Genomic DNA, 23,411 nt, shown 5'->3' with positions numbered 1-23,411 from the left:
ACTTCACAGATTCACAGGGAGGTGGACCTAAGGGGATATTGTGAAATCCCATCCCAAGGCATAAAGGGGCTGTTGATCCCCTGGACCCAGAGAAAAACTGGCCCTGGGATGTAAAATCTCAAGGCGTCTCAGAGAAATTTAAGGTGATTAAGGTGACACCCATAAGCCCCTTTAGGGGTTCTGGGAAATGCATGGGTGGACCAACCTACACAAGACTAAACATCTTGCTCATTAAATGCATGGCATCTAAGAGCATCTCTCTGTAACAGTGACCCCATTTGTTGTAGGGCTTTCTTTTTGGTTCCGCTAAAAGCCGGGTTCTTGTCAAACGGCCGTGAAAGATGAGGCTCGCAGACACCTTGAAGGGTGAGAAAAATAAAATTCACTGGGCGAAAAGAAAAAATAAAAAAGGAAAACAGGGACTCTCAGCAAAGCGAGAGTCCTGCTAGCCGGTTGCCTGCCTCCCAGATGGAATCCCCAGTTCCACCCCAGAACAGGAGAGGCCAGGCTCCTCCTTCCTGCAAATGACGCGAATTTCCCGAGGCCGCACCCCAGCGCGCACTCCTCCCAATGAGCAGGCCGGACGGAGCTTCTTCCGGGAGCCCTTTTTACTTGGCTGTCTCATGTTCATCCTCACCAGCTAGCGAAATACAAAATACACACAGTACAGAGCAAATTGTGAGATGAGTATCAGTGAATAAACTGCTGTGCAGACATTTCTTGTATTTGAAATGTTTATTTGTTATGAACCCAATTCAAGCTGGCTTAAGCTAGAAAACAAACACACACCCACACAAGAATATGTTAACTGTCATAACTGGAAAGGAGTACATTGGCTTCAGAAATGGCTTCGTTGAGGTACTCAAGGGGCCTCATCAGGATTTTGTTCCCCAAAGTCTTTATCCCACAGACATTTATGAGCATTTCCCAAGTGACATTCTTGGTAGCAGAGACACAGCATTGCACATAGAAAGTCTGTCTTCCTCAAGCCAAGATTCTAGCTGACGGTGAGAGAGGCCTGGAGTCCATCCTAGGTTCACGTGCTCAGCCCTACTATTTTCTGTGACAGATACATTTTTAGCTAGGTTCTCTCCGTGTGGTGGTACCCTACCTTTCCAAGCTCATATCCTTCCAGCAATACATGTAATTAAAAAGAGACCTTATTTCCACAGTTCTATTAACGTTCTGGGACATCCCTGGCTTAGAATTTAACTGATCCTTATTCTCAGCTTTGAACAGATTACAATGCAAAACGATGAAATTCACTAATTTCTTAGACCTGACACTGGGGCTGCTCTCTGAGCAGAGGAAGGCATTGGCCCCACCTAAACACATGGATGGAGAGTGGGCAAGAGAGACATTCCCAAAGGGAATTTGGGTGCCAGTAGCAGAAGGAACAACCTTTCCAGGGCAGGCAGAAGCAATAGTTAACTGCAGCATTGAAATTATTTCCTTAGGATATATTTTTAGAAGTGAAATATGAATGCATAGTGGAAATATATTTTAAGACTTCTGACAAAATTGCTAATTGTCTTCTATGATGTGTCTATTTGTTTTTACACTCACCCCATGCGTGTGTCTGTGTGGTTTAAATGGTGTAAGATGTTAAAAGTGCTTAGAGTATATTAAGTTGATTTCTGATCACCGAAGACTCTCTTTTTGTCTATAGGTGACAGACTAATAATATTAATCCATTAGTTCACGTTTCAATTACAGATAAAATGAGATCCTGGTGTTAGCTTTTAGGCAGATACACACAAACACACCACACACACACACACACACACACACACACACACACACACACACACAGAGAGATCAGCTTTGAAGAAGACTGAATTCTCTCCCTGCACAAATGAAGCCTCAATTGTTCCACCCTATGCTGCAATAGCACTAACTCCTCTCAGGTAACATGGCCATACTCTTCTGTTCTCCCTGGTAAGATCAATACCAAATATTTGTGTTTTTTGAAAAAGAAAAAAAAGCCTTCTCAGGATTAATAATAAGGCCAAATAGAAGGGAATTAAAATTAAAAAGAAATAGCAAAATCCAAGGTTAATGCTTCGATGTCAAAATGACCACCAGAAGAAATGACACAATGCATCTGTTATCAAAGTGGTAAACTCCTTCTGAATTTCCAAACCACATTTCCACCCAGGCTGCACTGCCTGTGCTTTGACATATCTCTGACTGTGATGACCATCATCTCTTGTAAGGGATTTTGCAGCCAACTCTCTCATTATAGTGTCATCTTGAGTATGGAGAAGAAGGGAAAACAAGCCGGTCCTCCTGACTGTAGTTCTGAATATTGACACAGAAGTCGATAGATCAGGAATTCCCCTGCTCCAGGAGGGGGATCTCTGAGGGCAAACTCCAAAGTTTGATGAATATGATGTTCAGCCCCTGCAGAACCTTGCTTGTTAGTGTTGCCTCTGCAGTGTCATTTACTGTCTGTCTTTTCCCTCGCCCTGATCTTGAAACTTCTGCACGGCCACTGAATTTGCATGTGTGCATCACCTGGTCTCCATGGCAACTGCAGAAAATCAGAGCAGAGACAAAGGATTCAGTGTCCACTTGTGACCAGTGCTTTCTACCTAAATCAGGGCATTTCAGCCTTCGATCCATTGACATTACAAGTCAGATGATTCTTTGTAGTAGGGTCTTTCTTTTGCACTGTAGGATTTTTAGCAACATACCTGGCCTCTGCTGGCTAGACGTCAGTACCATTCTCTAATTGGGATAACCTCAGTAGTCCCCATACATTGCCAAATGTCTTCTGTGGGAAGAAATCATTTCCAGCTGAGAAACACTTAACTAGGTCATTGGAACATAGAACTAAATTGGATGGGGTGTCATATAATGTATAATTTTCTTTACATTTTAAAAATGACCTTATTCTGAAATTGGTTCTGGTTGCCACAGAGAAATGAGCAAATATCTTCTTAGCAGGCACATCATGAAGACCTAGAAGGAGTTCCAAACCGCAACCTCAAATGTGTTATTAACTGAGACGGTACTTACACAATTTATAAAGTATTTTAATATTTTTCTTTTATGTGCTTCTCATAAATTATTTTTTTTAAAAAAACTTTGAAATGTACAAAGTGTCTCATGCCTCTAATCCCAGCAACCTTAGGAGGCTGAGGTGGGAGGATCGCTTGAGCCCAGGAGTTTGAGACCAGCCTGGGCAGCATACTGAGACTTCGTCTCTAAAAAAAAAAAACAAAATTAGCCAGGTGTGGTGGCATGAGCCTGTGGCTCCCAGCTAATTGGGAGGCTGAAGTGAGAGGATCACCTGAGCCTGGGAGGTAGAGGCTGCAGCCTGGGTCACACCACTGCACTGCAGCCTGGGTGACAGAGCAACACTCTATTTCAAAATAAATAATTTTTTTTTTAAAAAGTCAAAAATAAAAAACACTTCCTCATCTACAAATTCTTCTAGGGTGCTCATGCCTATGCTTCTGAGCTTTTTGTACAATTTGAAATTACACATAGATGGCCGAAAGGCTTAGGACAGGTCTTGTCTGTTCCTTGAATAAGCCAAGGAAGTGGCCTGTTTCTCTGCTATTTCTTCTGCCTCAAATGCTCTTTCTTCAGATACCTGTGGGGTCACTCTCTCCAATGAGAATACAATCATTCTGTCCTAGTAAACCTCCCTTCCTCAGAGATGGCTTCCCTGATACCTTAGAGGGCCACTGCCTACCTCTGTGCCATCTCTTTTTCTTTGCACTGCTTTTCTTTCCTTCTTAGTATCCAAAGTGACTACCTAAAATCGTATGTGTATTCAATTATTCATTTTATTATCTGTCTTTATTGTCTTCCCTGCATAGGAAAGTTCATTTGTCTTTTTTGTTCACTTCTGTATCTTCAGGAACTAGAACCTAGGCCTAGGCCACAGTGCTTTAGAGAAAGACTGCAGAGCACATACTTGGTGGCATGTGTGCCATTATCTGATTCTGTGCCCATGGCAGACTTTGCTAATCGTTCAACACACTTCTCCACTAGATTCACAAACAATATCAGAGTTCTTCTTACTGGTGCTGCCACAGTTTTGGAGCTAGCTGCTGCTCAATTTAAACACGATGTCACCCTCCTTACTCCAAGACCAACTATGCCTATCACTTAAATAAATTGGATTTATGCAAATAGGATTATTAAACAAATTCCCATTCACCTCTCTTCTCCAGATGACCAGGTAAGAAACTTTGCCAATAGATCCAAGGAAACATAGGCTGCCTGTTTGTGTTTGAATTCTAGCTCCAGTTCTTCCTAAATGTGCAACCTTCAGGAAATTACTTTACCTTTCTGTGATTCAGTTTCCTCAGTTGCAAAATGAGGATAATAATAATGCCGATTCCAAGGGGATTGGTGGTGAGTCACTGAGATAGTGAAGAACAAGTCTGTAGTAAAACACACTAAGAACGTGGCCTGGGAGATAGTAATTATATGTATATGAGTGTGCGTTTTGTGTGTTACTACGATTATCTTTTTTAAAATTAAGTTAAAGCTGAAAGCTATGGATGAGTGTTTCTTTTAAATTAACATCACTGTATTACCCATACAAGGCTGTTCTCTGCATTTAGGTGTATGCACTAGCCATTTCGTGGTATAAGTTGTAGAAAAGTAAACTTGACTTTTTTAGCATAACCCACAGTAAGAATTACATTTTGTGTTAATGACATATTATGCGACATACACATTCAAAACTCAAAGAGAAGTTTCATAAATTTGTACACACCCTTACTACCTATAATGTGCTCTGACATTTCTTACTCTGTTCTCTATTCGGTTCTGTTTTAGCCTATTCTGTTTTTTAATAGCTGGTTGCAATCCATTAAACTGATTTTGTGCCACTGACACAGAGTGAGCAGTAGTTTGAAAGCCAGGGCCCTCTGGAAGGCAGATCCTGCTCTGGGGAAACACTGCCTGTTTTGCATATGCATTGCTGAAAACAGGCACTGCTGGCTTAGGAGTAGGAGACTGGCCTTTCAAAGTTGTCCAAATGTGCTCCTATGTAAGAATAATGCTAATTGCATTGGCCAGTCTCAGAACTGAAATAAGCCAACGAACAAAATAAATTGCAGTGCATGAAATTTGCAATAAGCTCACTCTGAAAAAATTCCTGAAATAATCTCTGTTGTAATCATAAAATTGCAAAGGCCGTAAGACAATGTCTTGGCCCAGCAGCTGAGCTCTGCAGGTTCAGAGGTTTCAGGCCCCACGTTGGGACTGCTTCCACCAGAGGATTCAACAATGGTTTTACTGAATTGAAGGATGAAGACAGCCGTCGCTAAATGAACAGGCAAGAAAAGAGTGCCTCTGCTGGCTGGGGATGGAAATTACCAAATTACCAAAAGGAAATTGGGTTCGTGTTTAGTACACAGAGCAAGGGGGACTCACTGGAACCAAGTAATTTCTTGATCCTGATGTCTCCTGGTGCTTCCGTGCTCAGTGGTAAAGGCTGACAGATCAGATCAAGGATCCTGGGAGGGAGCTGGGGAGGTGTTGTTCAAAGGATACAAAATTTCAGTTAGGCAGGAGGAATAAGTGAATGAGGTCCATTGCACATGACAACAAAGGTTCATCATATATTGTATTCTTGAGAAATGCTGAGAGAGTAGTGTTTTCACCACCAAAATGAGGACTATGAGAGGTAATGAATATGTGAATTAGCTGGATTGAGCCATTCCACAATGTATATATACTTTAGAGCATCATAGTGTACACAGAAAATACAAACCATTTTATCTGTCAATTAAAAAATAAAAATCATTATATTAAGTTCTTAGTGAAAATCAAAGCAACAATCAAAAGTAGGACTATTGAAGATTCAGACTCTTTAGAAATGAAGGCTTGAGTTACTCTACCAGATAAGGAATCTTGACTAATTGACTTTTTGGCTGAGAGCAAGAGAAGTATGGAAATATGGAATGGATCCTGAGAATAATGGCACATGTATATATAAGCAGAAATGAGTGTTCTATGCTTTTGCGTAGTTTCTCTTTCCTTGTTATGTGTGTTTGTTTTTATAAATAATAATTTTTATTGTCTTTTCCTCCTTCCCTTTATTACTTTACATACAAATTATATGCTATTGTTATACAATTTAGCTTTCAGGTAACAGAATAGTCAGTGGGACCCTGACTAAATTTGAGGAGTATCTAATGCAACCAGGGATGATGCAATGACTTGAGGCCTGTTTTTCCTCATGTTAGGGAAGGGATGGGGCTGCATATCATGTATAAAGGATGCTTGTAAAACAGGGTCATGTACTAAGAAGGGTAAAAAGCAATCTGAAGAATATGGCAGTCACAGATGTGGGGAGCAGGCACTACCTCTGGGACTGAAGGAGCATGCCAAAGACAGAAGAGACTTGGGAAAGGGCCATCTCCAAGTTTGAGATCAGACTCTTTGGAAAGGATGTGGCTCTGAACCCAGGTAGAGGGGTTCAGTGAGGTGCAACAGGCTGGGCCTGGCAAGCAAGAAACTGCCCACGGGGGCCCAGCAAAACTTGTTGGATGGATGTACTATTGAAGCCCCATGCATTATGGCAAAGAAGCTGCTCACTGGAAGAGAGTTTCCTGGTGACTACTTCCTTATGGGAATAAGAAGGAGAGTATTGGGATCAGGAGGAGAAGCACAATCCTTTTGTAAATTGTTCCAGCTAACAGATGTGCAATGTTTACAAAGTTCAGTCCCAGTGTTACAGAGGAAATCAAAACGGATGGGTATAGAACTGAAAGTCAAGAACTCGATAACTGCTCCAGCCTCACCTGTGGTAAGCCAGCTTCCCACACACCTATCTACACATATTTTGACTTCTTTAAAACCATGACAAAATGACTCTATGCTTCCATCTACTGATCAATCAGAACATAATTGGAGGGAAGATGACTTGCTATTATCTGCCTCCTGAGATAATGCAATAAAAGAAGTACAAGCCCACCTCTAATCTACTCCTCCCCCTAATACTATTGAGCCTCAATATTTAAAAAATCCAGTTTACAGAAAACATGGGGATGTAAGAATATGTTAAAAATGCCATGATAACATAATCGGCTTCTGTTGAGGGCCCTCAGGACCACCCTCCATCTGGAGTTTTCCTAGAAAGTTTCATAGGGCTAGCATATAGTTGTGCTCATGACTCAGATTTGTAACAGGGAAGTGATAAGAATACACATTAGATCCCAGGGGTCAAAGACACTGGCAGCGTCTGCGGGAATCTCCATGTCGGCTTCCAGTGATCTCTCCCTCTTATGAGGGTCTCAGAATCCATTCTTCCCCCAACTATGAAAATGTAGCAACAGGTAGGCCATGTTTCTGCCCAAGGAAGCCCATTAGAGACTCAGCACCCAAGGTTTTTTGGGAGCTGGTCACATAAAGATCTTCTGCCAGGCACATACCAAAATGCCAGACTCCCGGAAGAAAAGCAGGTGTTCAGAATAAATCATATTGTTTGAATGGTCCAGGCATAGTGAGCTAGTCTTACCATGGAATGGCAGGCACATTTCCAAAATCCAAATTCCTAGACATCAACCAAGGGCCGACTTGCAAGAACACCTTTCTATGGAGAGTAGTCTCCGTCCTGCTATGCTAACTCATTTCTGCACACAGCCCAATGTAGAATCTGGGAAATTCTATTGGAAAATTATTTTTATAAGAAAACAAATAAATGGCATGGATAAAGAGGAAAAATACAAGAAACTGTAAACACTTAAAGGATTTATGGAACACACCAACCAAAGAAAATATCTGGATCTTGCTTTGTGTGGACCTTAATTTAAATGAACTCTAGGCAGACATTTTTAAGGTAGCAGGGAAGTGTGAAGATAGATTGGTATTGAATACTATGAAATGAATATTGCTGACTATGATTGCATTATGTACGATCATGTATCTTAGTTACTTAAAAGAGTCTCTATTAGCAATACATACCACCATATTTACACGTAAAATTACTGGAGGTCTGGGCATTTAAAAAATAATAATCTTGCTTTGTTGGTGATAATAATGAGAAGTATTAGTGGAGATAAAACAAATTAAACAAAATATTGATAATTGTGGAAGAAAAATTTTGTTTTTTTTTTTTTTGAGATGGAGTCTTGCTCTATCTCCCAGTCTGGAGTGCAGTGACCCGACCTCAACTCCCTACAACCTCCGCCTCCCGGGTTCAAGTGATTCTCCTGCCTCAGCCTTCTGAGTAGCTGGGAATACAGGCATGTGCCACCATGCCTGGCTAATTTTTGTAATTTTAGTAAAGACAGGGTTTCGCCATGTTGGCCGGGCTGGTCTGAAACTTCTGACCTCAGGTGATCTGCTCGCCTCAGCCTCCCAAAGTGCTGGGATTAGAGGTGTGAGCCACTGTGCCCAGCCTAATAGTGGAAAATCTTCAAGGAGTACAGGGAGATTAGTCATGTCATTCTTTCTATATTCATGCATGTTTGAAAAGTTCCATATTTAAAAAGGCTAATGTAAGTAAAGATATATTTTGTTTCTTTTTATGTGTAGCCCACATAACCCACAATTAACCAAAAATGTGAAAGCAAGAATAACAGGGTGACAAGAAAAAATTAGCTTTACATTAAGAAGTTACCTGTAGATTACAAGGTAGAGTAAATGTAGTCTATCTCCTGGCATTCGTAGGCATATTTTTGGCAGGAGCGAGAAGTCTGATCTTTACAAATGATGTTGTTTTACCACCCCTTCTTTTTGTACTAGCTTCCTGGTAAAGGTTAATTGATTTACCTTTTCAAGAATTTCTGTACACACACCTCTGTATCTTCTTTTTTTTTAAAAAAAGAACAATATACATAAAAGTGAAAATTAGTAGTGAATCTAAGATAATAATTCAGATTTTTGTGGTTCTGTGTGTTTTCATCTCAACTCACTTGACTTAGGCTTTTGATTGGAGTGTTGTTTGGAATAGGATCAAGAACATACGGGCAATTAGGTCGGGCGCGGTGGCTCACGCTTGTAATCCCAGCACTTTGGGAGGCCGAGGCGGGCAGATCACTTAAGATCAGGAGTTCGAGACCAGCCTGGCCAACATGGCGAAACTCTGTCTCCACTAAAAATGCAAAATTAACTGAGTGTGGTGGCACACGCCTGCAATCCCAGCTACTTGGGAGGCTGAGGCAGGAGAATTGCTTGAACCTGGGAGGCAGAAGTTGCAGTGAGCCAAGATCGTGCCACTGCACTCCAACCTGGGTGACAGAGTGAAATGTTGTCTCAAAAACCAAACAAACAAACCAAAAAAACAAAAACAAAAAAATGAAAACAAAAAGAACACATGGGCAACTGATCTGGGACAGCTCTCGCTCACTTACCTCCCTAATTAGTTTTCACCTGTTGCTTTACCAACTAATTAAAGTACAGCTCCCATTCAATAATATTTGGTTCCTTCTCATGTCCAGCGCAGACATCAGCACTGGGTGTTAAAGGTTATCAGGCAGTCAGAAGCTCAAAGACATCCCAGCTTATTGAAAGAGGAATCTTCAAATAAACAGCAACAACAATGTACTATTGGGTTCTTCTCATAAAGCTGACTGGAGAGAATGGAATAGGAGATAAAGAGACGGACAGCTAAGGTCTATGAGAAGGAAAGAAGCAAAGAGTATCAAGAATGTAGAGAAGGTAAAGGTTGTGTGCAATTTTTCTTTGAAACAAATTTGGTTATCTTAGCCCAGAATAGAATCCTATTGAAAGAAAAATAATATTGATCACAGCATCAAAGGTAAAGAGAAAAAGCTGGCTTTGGGAAACAGCAACTGAATAGGAGCTAAGATGTATTTGTTGCCACAGCAACAAATGGGTAAAGCAGCTCCAACTGTTTTCAGCCTTTCCGACTCAAGATTTACATTTCTGAGGAGAGCATGTGCATGGCCCAGATTTCTCCCTACCCCTCAGCCAAGAGAGCATTGGGCATTTTGATTGACAGCCCCAGGAAGTTAGTACATCAGACAGGGTTGGGGTGGAGGGGAGGATGGACGCTGAGCAGGTAAACGCAACACATGTGCCTGTAGTCAACACAGATTATTACGCAGGGATGAAGATGAAAAGTGGCAACCCAGGCAGCCAGAGCTGTGTACACCATGACAGAGATATGAGGGACTGATGGCCTATAAATGGAACAAGCTCCATGGAACAGGCTGGGAAGTGTACTCAATTTTGGATTGCTTTATGATTACCTCATCCTCAAACATTGCTCTGAGAGGTCTGGCCTGGATCACAGATACATATCTGAAGCCATTATTGAGGGTGTGTATTTTTCCTTGGCTTCAGAAAGGTCATGGGCAGAGAGCCACAGAGTTGACTCAGCCCACTGGAAGGACATAGACTGTGAGTGAGGAAGGAGTTCATCTTCAGAGGAAAGCTGAGGGCTCTTATCAGAAGAAGAAATGGAACCCAGAGAGGAAGAAACAAACAGGACATCATAATTCTCCCACTGGTTCTCAAAATATTCTCTTCCTAGGACATAGGAGGAGAAAACACTGCCCTCCTTAATTAAGAGATGAGGAAATTGAGGTGAGTACCAATGGACATCCCACATTCCCACAGCTACCACAAGGTGGAGGTCAGACTAAACCCTCAATCTCAGGACTTCTGGGCTGGTGTAGCCTCTATTGATCTCTCTGTGGAAGAGTATTCAGTCAGTCAGTGTGGAAGTGTAGTCAGTCCTCTGAGACGTTTCAGAGGCAACCCCAAACTCTACCTAATGCCACTCTACCCCCAAGCCTCCCCAAAAGAAATAGAAATTGAACATTCCTCTGGTTCCTAAAATGAGACCCCCAACTATCTGACAGAAACAGGAACTGCCGAAGTAACAAGGAGGAAAAAACCAACTGATCCAAGGAAGCACCTGTTCCATTAAGAACATCACTTCGGTTGGTTCATTCAGGCAATAGAGAAGGTCAGTCTCTGGAAATCCAGCTGCACTTTGAATGCTCCACCCACTTTGTCATGCGCCTAAATCTAGGCAGGGCTCCACATTGTTATTCTGGTCATGAATCCAAACACAGAAAAAATGGAAAACTCCAACCACCCAATCCTGCCTCTAACACGTGTGAGCCATTGGCCCTTGGGCTCATTAAATACATTATTTAGGCCTCGGTGACCTCATTTGCCCATGGGGATGACAATAGAAATGGTCTCAGCCGCTGTTGAGAAACCCATGCAATAATGTACATGAAACCCTGAACACAATGGCTGACATAGGCAAATGCTCAATAATGTTGGTTATTACTATTACTGCTATGTGTAATAGTAATGATCAGAAACCATCCCAAGATGCCAAACTAAGACACTGCTTAATTATGGCAAGTCTACATATGAAATATTTGGGGCATCATGAATGTGTTTATAAAGAATATGGAATAATAACACAGAAAAAGTTTATACTTAATACTGAGCAAAAGGAGCAGAATTCAAAACTATATGCCGACATGAATAGGACAGAATTAAAATGTACAGGGGGAAATTAAGGAAATGGACTAACGTTCACTGTCAATAGATTTAGTTGAGTCGTCTTCCTACCTTCTGCTTTTACTGTGTCTTTAAGTGTTTCTATGATAAAATTTACTTTCATGACAATAAAAGGTTTTAGTACTTTAGAAAAGATGTACGTTCTCTTAAATTTCAATTGCTAATTCATTATGCATTGGGAAAAATGCAACCCACTTTGGGAAGGCTTCCCTCCCTCATCTATAAAGAATGAGGAGGAAACTCATTCGTTGAAATGGCTCTTTGCAAGCTCTTTCTCTTAGCATTCCAAGCCAAGTGATAAGGCAGCTACTTAGGATTCAGGAGTAACAGCATGAGCTATTTCCCCAGAGAACCAACGACAAAATTTCTATATCAATTTCCAGCCCATGAATCTAAGATTCCATAGCTACGCCTACGAAAGGGTTTTTTTGGGGAAAGTACATCAAAATAATATCTGAAGTAAGCATTTACAGTGGAAAAGGGGGAAAATGTTATCCAGGGATTGGAAAAGCATAGGGTGGGGGAAAGCTAACCCCACTCTAATTCCCACTAGCATGTTCTCCCCCTGGTGTGGCTGCATCGTTGTGCCAATGAGTATAATAAATAGAAAAATAAGTAATAGATGCAAGGCTGTAGTGTCAGGGAAACAGACAGAAGGAGATCTCTCTCACCATAGATTTTCTTAAATGAGCCAGTTCCCACCAGTCCTGAAACTATCAAGTTCTCTGCAGTTTTAACTTGCAAGTAAGTATAGCTTGAAAACCCACATAACACATATGTCCCTTCCAGGGAATTACTAAGGAGTGCACATCATGAATACATAAAAACCAGTGCCAGTTGGACCTGTGTTCCACTGGACTTTAAGGAAACCCCAAATCTGAGCAAATACAAGTTTATGGGCTCCGAAGACTAGTCTTGCTCACAAGCCAGTCTCAGTTAAATAAAGGCTGTTTTTCTTGAGCTGAATGAAGGGTATTGGCAGCTAGGAAGCAGCTGCCATTTCTAGGAGCTCACTGAGTTTGGCTCATGATCTAAAGATTTAACCTGCCTCATTGACGAGATCCTCACAAAAGCCTGATGTGTGTAGGTGATTGCATGCATGTGTGCGCGGGGAGCATTATCATCCCTGTTTCACAGACAAAATACTGAATGTAGAGAGGTAAATTCAGTAACTGGATATAACAATAGAAGCCAGAATATAACTGAGGCTAACCCTCTCTAAACTTTATGCTGGTCAACCCTATAGGGATACTCTCATGCATTCTCCAAATTCCATTTATTCCACCAAGATTCCATTTTACATATGCTGACAAAACATAAGCAATGTTTTTTACATTCATTTGCTTTGAGATTCTCCCATGAAACAGTATCCCTGGGAACAGACTGTATTCTGTCAGAGCAAAGGCGGTGAACTGGTGGTTATCTGGCCCAATGCTGTTTGCAATCACATTGTGTTTGCCTTGCAGAATGTTTAAAAATTTAAAATTAATATCCAACATGTAAAAATAAAATGTTTTACAAAAAATAGCAATATCTGGCTTTCTGTGAAACGTTAGAAGATTTGTGAATACAGGAAATACACTCCCATTTGGCAAAGATAACCCAGCCCCTTTAGAGCCTCTCTTCCTACCTGCACCCCCGACATGAGCCTAGGGTGAAGCTTCCTAAGACCACGGTCCAGGTGGGAGGCTGCTTACTCTCTGAGTCCCCTGACTGCCGGGAAAACTGTCATCAAATTCCTCCATCCAAGGACATCTGAGAACCTTCACTGCAGCCCATTGTTTCTCATAGTAATATTCAACATTTACTCAACAGTAACTGTGTGCCAATACTATTTCATAGAATCTTCACAAAACCCCCATGAGATGGTCAATATTATGATCTATTTAAATGAGAAATAAAATGATGTTTCCTCCATGACACTGGAAAGGATCCACTTAAACGATACATTATTTTTTGCTCCAGAATTTTTTCTCAACTTTGATTCTACAAGAACTCAGCATTCCATTGTCTCTAATTTTGCACAAACTGAGCTATACTTTGTTATTGTTGTTAACTTCTTGAGCAGGTATCAGCACCCATGGCTTTAGGAAGAGGGAAAATGAGGTGGAAATCTAATCTACCTGAGTCTAAACAATAAACATCCGTGAATAGGGACACTGCATTTGACAAGATGGAAAAGGCAAATAAATGTACTCTGGTTATAAAAATGTCATTATTTGCTTTTACTTTAAAATGGCTCTTCAGGTTGTTCAATGTAAAACAAAGAGGCTTTCTCTTTAATGGTTTCTGTCAGAGATAATATGGTGTGAGGTAGAAATGATGAACTCATCCCAGGATATCAACCAAGCAAATGTCCATCAGGTAGGGAGGCAGGGGTCCTGGTAATACACTATGTGGAAGAATGGGGAAAATTTATGGAGGACATGATTGGAATCAGTGGATTTAAATTTTATCTCAATTCCCCCACATCTTATAATCCTAGGCATGTATATTCTTTATTTTATCCAAAAGATACCAACTTTATATCAACTAACAATTAATTTACAGGTGAAAAGTTCTATTTAACCTCCTAAAGATGAGTCCCATACAATGAGTGCCTCCTCTTTCCCAGCCCCTGTTCTAAGTACTTAGGATGTATTATGTTACGTGAGTCTCAAATACCCAGTGGACTGGGGACTCCTAGTATGACAGGTAAAGTAAAATCATACAGGTTTTCATTTTTATACCTGCTATCTGCTTTCTAAATGTTCTCTCATTTGTTTTGTTTTCAAGATGGAGTCTTGCTCTGTCACCCAGGCTGGAGTGCAATGGCGCGATCTCCACTCACTGCAACCTCTGCATACCAGGTTCAAGCGATTCTCCTGTCTCAGCCTCCTGAGTAGCTGGGATTACAGGTGCCCACCACCACAGCTGGCTAATTTTTGTATTTTTAGTAGAGACTGGGTTTTACCATATTGGCCAGACTGGTCTCGAACTCCTGACCTCAGGTGGTCCGCCTGCCTTGGCTTCCCAAAGTGCTGGGATTATAGGAGTGAGCCACTGCGCCTGGCCATTTGATTCTTATAACACCTTTGAAAGTAGGCATGACAAATATTATAATCACAATGTTACATAATATTATGCTGGTTTTAGAAAGAAGGGAACTGAGGCTCTGCAGGGTGCTTAGAAGTTTTGCTGCTGAAGTTTAGGTGCATTTGCTTCTATTCAATGTCTTTGTTACCATCTGAACAACCATACAGTTGGCTGTGATGCTGAAAATGTCCCGTCATGCACCTACACTGCCACAGACAATATAGTGCACCTTGACCTGAGCTCAGAATTGCAGGTATATTAAATGTTAGTCTTCACCATTTAAAGGCAACTGTATTTCCTATGGAAGAGACTACTCGTTTTCTCCCTATGCATTTCCCCCATAAGAATAGAATTTGTGTTTTTTTTGACTTCATAGGTAGCTGTCCAGAATAAAGCGTACATTACCCAGTACACATTGGGTCAAGGGAATGTCAGGTGACTAACTAAATTCTAGATGAAACTAGAAGTGTCACATGACAGCTTCCAAGGCATAGCAAGGACATGCTCCTCCTATGGACTACAACCTAGTTTTTTATTTGTCTTCTCCTATATACTTTAATGTAGAGGTGGTGTCTGTAGCTGTTACTGCCATCTTGCTAATGAGATGAAGAGGAATGGAGGTCAGAAGCAGAGCAACAATCTGGAAGAAGCCTGGGTTCCTGACGACCTTTAGGTCCAAACCACTATTCCAGCTTCAGACCTCTTTCTTAAGATGTTTTCATGAGAGAGAAACAAACTTCTCTCTCATATAAGCAGCTAATTTTAGCCTCTAATTCAAATGAACACTATTCTTAACTAATAAAATTTTCAGACAAAACATTGAGACCCACCAACTAAATATTGCATGTTTTAAATATGAGGATGAGCAAAACATATCTGTGCCATTAACACGACACCACAAACCTTAATGAGGTTCTCTGTCTTAATATACTTTTAAAAACCTGATTTAGCCAACAACCCACCCTTTTAATATAATGTTACTGTTCATTTTTGGGTTTTAGGAGGGCAACAGTTAACCCTACCTCATTCCTCTCTGAGTTTGGAACCAATTGAAATAAAAAGAGGCATATTTATATAAAAATATGACAAACATAGCAATTTCATTGCTCCTATTGCTGGTTTGGTAGACATGGTTGGGCCTTTAGTAAAATTATCCTCTACATTGGACTCTGTAAGTACAGTTTTTCTTTGGGCCCATTCGTATAGAGGACTAGGGCCACCTCTCACCTTGTCAAACACAGAGAATCCAGGAACCTTACAAGTAAGTCACACATGACCACAATGTTCACATATTAACCTTGCTAGTTAGAAAAAGGAGAATAAATACTGTAAGCATCCTCCATCTCCACAGTTCTTCAACCTTCCTCTGGGTTGAACAAGTAAAGTGGGGAAGGGGTTCAGTTTTATTTCAACAATCCCAGAAAGTGAGAGGCTTCTATGTCATGGTCTCCAGCTGGAACAAGTGGAAAGAAAGAAAAGAGATCTCCTGCTGCTCAAGATAAAGAAGGAATATTGCAGCTAAGGATGGGAGACATAGGGAAGTGATGGTTTCTAACCTGACACAAGGTGGAGAGAAGTAATAAACTAGAAGATGAGGGAAGTAATTAAAGTAAAACAAATATATGACACGAGGTTTCCTTAAACACACCCACAAGGAATATGGGACTTGATTGCAAGCTTCTTGTTCTTTCATGTTATTATTGAACTCATTATCATTATTGCTGTAATTGTAGTGGTGACCCACTTTATTCATTTATTATAAGACATTCCTGAAACCAAAGCAGAAATAGGCACTATTCTAATACAATATTTACCTGTCATTGTTCTACAGTATCTGTCTCTCTTTTGTTGTGGTGTCAAAGTCTGTTTAGGTTATGCGGTGCCCATATCCCCTGTTATCAGCACCCTCTCATGCTCAGTTCTTCTCATCTACATACACAAGAGTCCATTTCTCTGGGAAAAGGATTGTAGATAATAGACAAAAGGAATGTCTACTAGAGAAACAGATGAGCTTGGCTAATGAAGGAAATGAAAATTGGAGCCATAATGAGCTACTGTATCATAAATGAGCATAAATTATTTTGTCAGTGCTATTTACAATTTTACATGGTGCAGAGCTTTGCAATTACGTCTATTCAATTATGCCATTCAAGGGATATTTCAATAAGGATTCTTCATTGTGGCCAAACAACGCATTTGGAAGCTTCTGTTGTACGTGGGATTCAAATCTAGCCACGAAAGAGTCCATTGCTGTAGATTCAGAAGAAAACTCTTGGTTAAATGTCAAAATACTAGCAAATTCTTGAAGGAGAAATTTTCAATTGTTTAGGAATAAAGCATAATGAATATGACCTCTATCTATGATTGTGGAAATTCTGAGTTGAATTCCAAATATCTTGGTGGTTAGGTCAGTGTATTACCAACAATGACAACAACAAACAATACGAACAGAACAAAATTTGGGAACAAAACATGATCGGAAGATTTTGCAAAGGTTAAAAAAGCCCTACTGAGAGGTTTTTTCATAGAATACGTAAATATTTTTATGCGTGTTAAAAACATAAGAACTCTTAAAATATGACTGTAATACTGTAATCATTCATAAATAGAATTAAAAATATAAATATCCTCAAATATCTAGTCAATGTTCAAATTTCCTTGCATGTCTGAGCCTTTTTTAAACCTCTAATATATCATTTGTACATGTTTCATTTTTTTCGTTCCATAGATAAGCATGGCAGCCTTCCAATCCACTTTCTTTTCACCAAACTTAACAAATCCCATAATTACATTCATCCATGTTGTACTATTCACAGCTGCACATCCCATCATGAAAGAGCTTGTTTTTCTGTAGGAGTCAAGCTAAATAACCCAATTGTTAAGACAAAACCAGGCTGAGCTTGGCTTAAAAATTGAATTGTGTTACCAACCTAGTGGAAAGTTCCATTATTGGACTGGAAGAAACACTGTCACCTTTTCAAAGAATGAAAGTGAATATTAAGCTTCTAGTTATAGTAGTAGAGGTGAGAGCCACAGCCACTGAGGCAAGAAAGTGAATGTTAGCATTTACTTACCCTATAGAACTTCCAAGGCAATGTTGGGCTTGTTTTACATCTGACTCCTACCCCAGATGTGGATACATTAAGCCTTTGGTCTTAAATACAGCTGGCACATACTGACTCATGATTTCAGATGGTTTCAGGAAAGACCGTCTAGCAAAAGTTGTACTTGGGGGAATTCCTGGCAAAATAACAGATGTAGCAATGTCTAACTGCTTTTGTGATGTAAATTGATCTCCCTGTGGCATCAGTGAATCTTCGTGCATTCCTTACATTGATCAGATAAAACTTAACTAGAAATAAAAATAACACACACAAAAACATCTTCAAATGCTGTGTATATTCATTGATTATTTTTTAATTTAAATGCTTCAAACCTGACCTATAAACTTTTTGAAATGTGTTCAGGCAGCAAATACACATACCATCTACCCATGTCCATTTTGTTTCTGAAACTAACCAAGCTTATTCTTGCCTCAGGACTTTCCCTTGCTGGATCCTGTGCCTGCAGCTCCTGTTCTTGGCCTGTCTGCTTTGCACCTTCCCTGCTTAGAGGACAGCACCCCCATGTCTTCATCTGGGGAGCCTTCCCTGACTCGCTGTCTCAGGTGGCTCCGTCACTCCCATTCCAGTCTCCCTTCATCAAATTACCCATTTATTATCTTCATAGCATTTTATCATAACCTAAAAATTGTGTTTGTTTATTTGTTTTCTTGCATATTGTCTGAATCCTTCATTGCATGTGACCATGATGAGGGCAGGGAAGTGACTCACATTCACCATGGGATCCCCAGGTCTTAGACCAAAGCCCGGCACATGGTAGGTGCTTGTGAATGAATAAATGAAAGGGTGGATGGATGGGTGGATGGATGGATGGATAGGTAGGTAGGTAGGTGGATGGGGCGTGGATGGGTGGGTGGGTACGTGGATTGATGGGTGGATACATGCATGGATAGAAGGATGGATGGATAGGTGGGTAGGTGGATGGATGGATAGATGGGTGGGTACGTGGATGGATGGGTGGATAGAAGAATGGTTGAATGAATGGGTGGGTGGGTGGGTGGATGGATGGATGGATGGATTTGTGTAAGTATAGATGGATGGATGGATGGATGGATGGATGGATGGATGCATGGATGGATGGATGCATGGATGAATTAGTGAGTGAATGAAGCACCTACAGAGAAAGTTGAGGAGATTTTACTCATAGTGAATTTTATTTAGTACAACCAACATAATAAAGAATTTCTGACAAATTTGTTTTAAAAGAGTTAGAATTTTACTAGTGAATGACCCAGAATAGTTGGTGATGACTCTAGATCTTTGATTTTCCAATGAGATTACTCTAAAACTAACAATGACTTTAACTGGAAAGTAAGCCAGGGAAAGTTTAAAATATGCTTGGTGTGTATAAAGAGAACCTAAGGATTGAGTTATATAAAAACAATATGGAATGAAGCCCCCTTCTCACCTCCCCTGCTGTGTCAGTTGCATGTTTGTCCTCACTTTGCTTGTAGCATCCAGGATGCTAAGACTCTGGAAAATCATAGTCGAACCCCTGCAGCAATCCGGTTACATTTGCTTGCAGCAGAGAGAATTGATTTGAGTGTTCTAGCATCCTTAAGACTTGGGCTCTTTCACCAGGTCTCCTCCAAATCTGTTGTACTGCTTTGGACAATTACTCTCAGCCTTTAAAAACTCCCCTGCCATGAAGGTCACTGCAGGACAGCTTCCTATAGACTATCTGTTATTGTGTGCTGTTTCCACGGAAAATGGGTAAAACATAACTGATATTATTAGAAATATGATCCTGACCACAAAAAGGGCCAATTTCCTTTGGTGATGACTCTCTGATTCAATTCAGATGACTACATTTGCATCATCGTAAGCTTGGACATGTCACTGATTCCCCCAGCAAAGTCTGTTCTTTCACAAGCTATTTTAGAAGTAAAAAGCCTTTATGGACCTCTTTCCAAAACTTTGATTCAGGGAAATTGGCAATGACTGAGCAAAAAAACACCAAAGGTCATTGTTACGTCATTCCGGAGGACAGAAGTTGGGATGGAAACCTCTCTTGCCCGTCCCACGTGGATATCAATGCATTCTCTCTGCACCTTGCTCTTTCTGTTTCTAGCTCACAGAGTTGTATGTGGAAATGGAACCTCACAAGCCACTGCTCCTTGCTCTGTGACTGCAGGCACTTGGGAGTTGAACACAGGGTTAGGAGGAGGGATGGCTGGTGTTACATGTCCTGCCTGGTCTCAGAGCTTGGAAACCAGTGGACTAGAGGCTGGCTGGCCACGTGTCTATTGTGCTAGGGTGTCCATGTCTTTTTCTCCACCTCTCTTACCTCCCTGCATTTGGCTTCACAAGATCTGACTTGCCCTGCTCTCCAACATGGGCTGCTTTTCCCTGCCTGGAATGGAGTCTGGCTCAGAATGTGAGAGCTACCCTCAGATTTCTCGGGTGGGGCTAACCACAGGACAAGAAGCTGGGGAAACTCAAGGAAATCAAGCAGACTCTGTTATGTACTAAGAGCTCTTGTGTTCTCATTGGAATATTATAACTCAGATTATTAGTTAGCATAGCAAAGTCTCTACCAAAAACAGAGACAGAAGCTGTCTACAATCTTACCTTCCGCAATGGATCAGGCCCCACAGGTCATGCAGGTCTTCCCTGTTGGCTCAGTATTATACTGAGTGCAGAAACATACCCCAGAAACAGTGAGAACTACGTCTACCACAACACCCTATGGTATTGGTCAAAATACAGCTGACGGCAACATTAACAATAACAAAATTTACTAGAAAAACTAAAACAAAATCTACAGGTAACTTAATTTCAGTCATATAACTTTGGCAATGGAGAATATTTGGATATTTTAAACACCTTTGTGACATTCCTACAACTATAACAAATACACAAGGATATTCTTTGAGTCAACTCATCATTTTGGTAGAAATGAAAGGTTTACTTAGTCTCAACTGTGCCTTTATCTGTTTCTAGCTTCAACTACTGAAATTACTTCAAGGGATTAATTTTTGGTTTTTGATGCAAATACTTGGTTATTTTGGCTTGCTGCTCTCCCAGCTTTCCCTAAGTTTGCACATGGTGACCATGGCAGCCTGTAAGATGGTGATCACTGACCCCTGCCTCAGGGTGTCTACTCCCTGTGGAATCCCTTTTCCTTTAACATGAGCTGAATTGAAGAACTCTCTTCCAATGAACAGAATAGGCCAAATCTCAGAGGTATCTGCTCTGAGATTAGGTTATAAAAAGAAGACCAAAAAACCTGTGGCTTTCATTGGGGGTGTCGCTTCTTATTTTTTTTCTGGAGGAAAGCAGCTGTCATAAGATAGCTCTGTTGAGGGGTTGAAATGGCAAATGCCTCAAGACTGCAACTATCACATGAGCAAGTTTTAGGTGATTTTGAGAGGACTACAGCCCTGGCTGACATCTTAACGGCAACCTCAGAAGCTTCCTTGAGCCAGAACCACCCAACACCATTTATTAAGAGAAATAGGAAAGGAAGAGGATGGAAGAGAAAAAAAAGACAATGATTGAGAAGAAAATAAGAAAATGAAAAGGCCAAGATGAAAAGGAGGAGAAGGAAAACAAACAATAGCAATAATAATATTTAACAAAGATTTAGTAGCTATTTTTAGGGCTATGAATTTAAAACTGCGAGCATTAAACTTTATAAGGCATTCAAAGAACTCTAATAGAACAATATTGAAGTTGTTTTGTTGTGATCATGTATACTCATTGAACAAGGAAAAAAATAAATATCCTGAGGTTAAGCAAATAGGCACTGGTGGTCTGAGATACAATTTCCAGGCAAAACAAAACATCAATATAGCTTGCACTCTATCTCAGGCAACTTAACACATGTGCTCTGGAAAACTGCATTAGACAGGTGTTTCGAGACTGAAAAGTATATTGATGTCAAGCATACATATGATGTACATATGATGTGTTTAAGTAAATTGCTTTAGGAAATATGAGAATGAGTAAAAGCAACACTTCTAACTTTGTATATAATACAGTGATAGAATAGGTTTAACTAAATGAGTAAATGTAACTATGTGCCTAAAAATTTACACATTTAGGTTTTTCTTTTCTTTCTTTATTGATTGGGGAAATGTCCAGACACATAGAACCATTTATTGTGGGGCTACAGATCTCTGCTAGCAGAGACTTGGAGACTCAAGGGCTACCACTGATTAGGAAATGAGCTACACAATTGAGAAATACTTGTTGATGCTAAAGGTCACCTTGAAAGTTGATGAGATTATGTGAGTGCAATAGAATCTTGGACTGAACAAACTGCTACTCTCCATCAGCAAGGAGACACCGTGATGCAGTATCAGGAAGAAATCAGGAATTTAATGACTTTGCGTATTTACTTTGGTCCACAGTAGTTATGGGCATCCAGCGAGAAAGTTGATAAATCAGATAATTTCAAGACGAGAACAAATAATTTTGTGTAGCCCTGAAGGAACACCAGTGTGCCTTGGAATTTAAAATAGAATTGACAAATGGAATCTAATTAAACTAAAGAGCTTCTACACAGCAAAAGAAACTATCAACAGAGTAAACAGACAACCTACAAAATGGGAGGAAAATTTTTGCAATCCATGCATCTGACAAAGGTCTAATATCCAGCATCTATAAGGAACTTAAACAAATGTACAAGAAGAAAACAAACAACCCCGCTAAAAAGTGGCAAAGGACATAAAGAGATACTTCTCAAAAGACATACATGGGGCCAAAAATCATGAAAAAAAAAAAAAAAGCTCAACATCACTGGTCATTAGAGAAACACAAATGAGATACCATCTCACACCATTCAGAATGGTTACGATTAAAAAGTCAAAAAATAACAGATGCTGACAAGCTTGTGGGAGAAAATAAATACTTTTACACTGTTGGTGGGAGTATACATTAGTTCAACCATTATGGAAGACAGTGTGGTGATTTCTCAAAGAGCTAAAGGCAGAACTACCATTAAACCCAGCAATCCCATTACTGAGTATATACCCAAAGGAATATCAATAATTCTATTATAAAGATACATGCACGTGTATGTTAATTGCAGCACTATTCACAATAGCAAAGACATGGAATCAACCTAAATGCCCATCAATGATAGACTGCATAAAGAAAATGTGGTACATATACACTGTGGAATACTATGTAGCCATAAAGAGGAATGAGATTATGTCCTTTGCAGGGACATAGAGAGAGCTGGAGGCCATTATCCTTAGCAAACTAACTCAGGAACAGAAAACCAAAAACCGCATGTCCTCTTTCACAAGTGGGAGCTAAATGATGAGAACACATGGGCACATAGAGGGGCACAGCACACACTGGGGCCTACCAGAGGGAGGAGGATGGAGGGAGAGGATCAGGAAAGATAACTAATGGATACGAGGCTTAATACCTGGGTGATGAAATAATCTGTATACCATACATTTACCTATGTAACAAACTTGCCCATCCTGCACATGTTCCCCTGAAGTTAAAAGAAAGCATTACAAGAAGTAAAAAATGCACACTATTACTATTTCAGATAGCTGAAATCTTTTTTTTTTTTTTTTGAGACAGAGTCTCGCTTTGTCACCCAGGCTGGAGTGCAGTGGCGCAATCTCAGCTCGCTGCAAGCTCTGCCTCCCGGTTCACGCCATTCTCCTGCCTCAGCCTCCCGAGTATCTGGGACTACAGGCGCCTGCCACCACGCCCGGCTAATGTTTTTGTATTTTTTTAGTGGAGACAGGGTTTCACCGTGTTAGCCAG

The 23,411-nt window shown here is 40.5% G+C and overlaps 2 long non-coding RNA genes and 1 pseudogene across 2 annotated transcripts in view; 2 read left to right on the top strand and 1 right to left on the bottom strand.

The window, feature by feature from the left end:
- The window catches only part of LINC00508 (long intergenic non-protein coding RNA 508), a 99,903-nt gene extending 84,530 nt beyond the window's left edge, over window positions 1–15,373 (top strand). The window contains exon 4 of the long non-coding RNA NR_126452.2: window positions 14,257–15,373. This is a non-coding gene — a long non-coding RNA (long intergenic non-protein coding RNA 508). The remainder of the gene's footprint in view (window positions 1–14,256) is intronic.
- Window positions 723–17,745, bottom strand: LINC02393 (long intergenic non-protein coding RNA 2393). The gene is made up of 3 exons (NR_033987.1): window positions 17,631–17,745; window positions 5,401–5,494; window positions 723–2,533 (listed from the first exon to the last, which is right to left on the bottom strand). It is a non-coding gene; the product is annotated as a long intergenic non-protein coding RNA 2393 (long non-coding RNA).
- On the top strand, window positions 21,846–22,363 carry LOC100419932 (FGFR1 oncogene partner 2 pseudogene; annotated as a pseudogene).

This window comes from Homo sapiens, chromosome 12, assembly GCF_000001405.40.
Source record: "Homo sapiens chromosome 12, GRCh38.p14 Primary Assembly".
Classification (NCBI taxonomy): Eukaryota; Metazoa; Chordata; class Mammalia; order Primates; family Hominidae; genus Homo; species Homo sapiens.
Note: the sequence above shows the minus strand (reverse complement) of the source record. Positions and strands in the feature narration are given on the sequence as shown.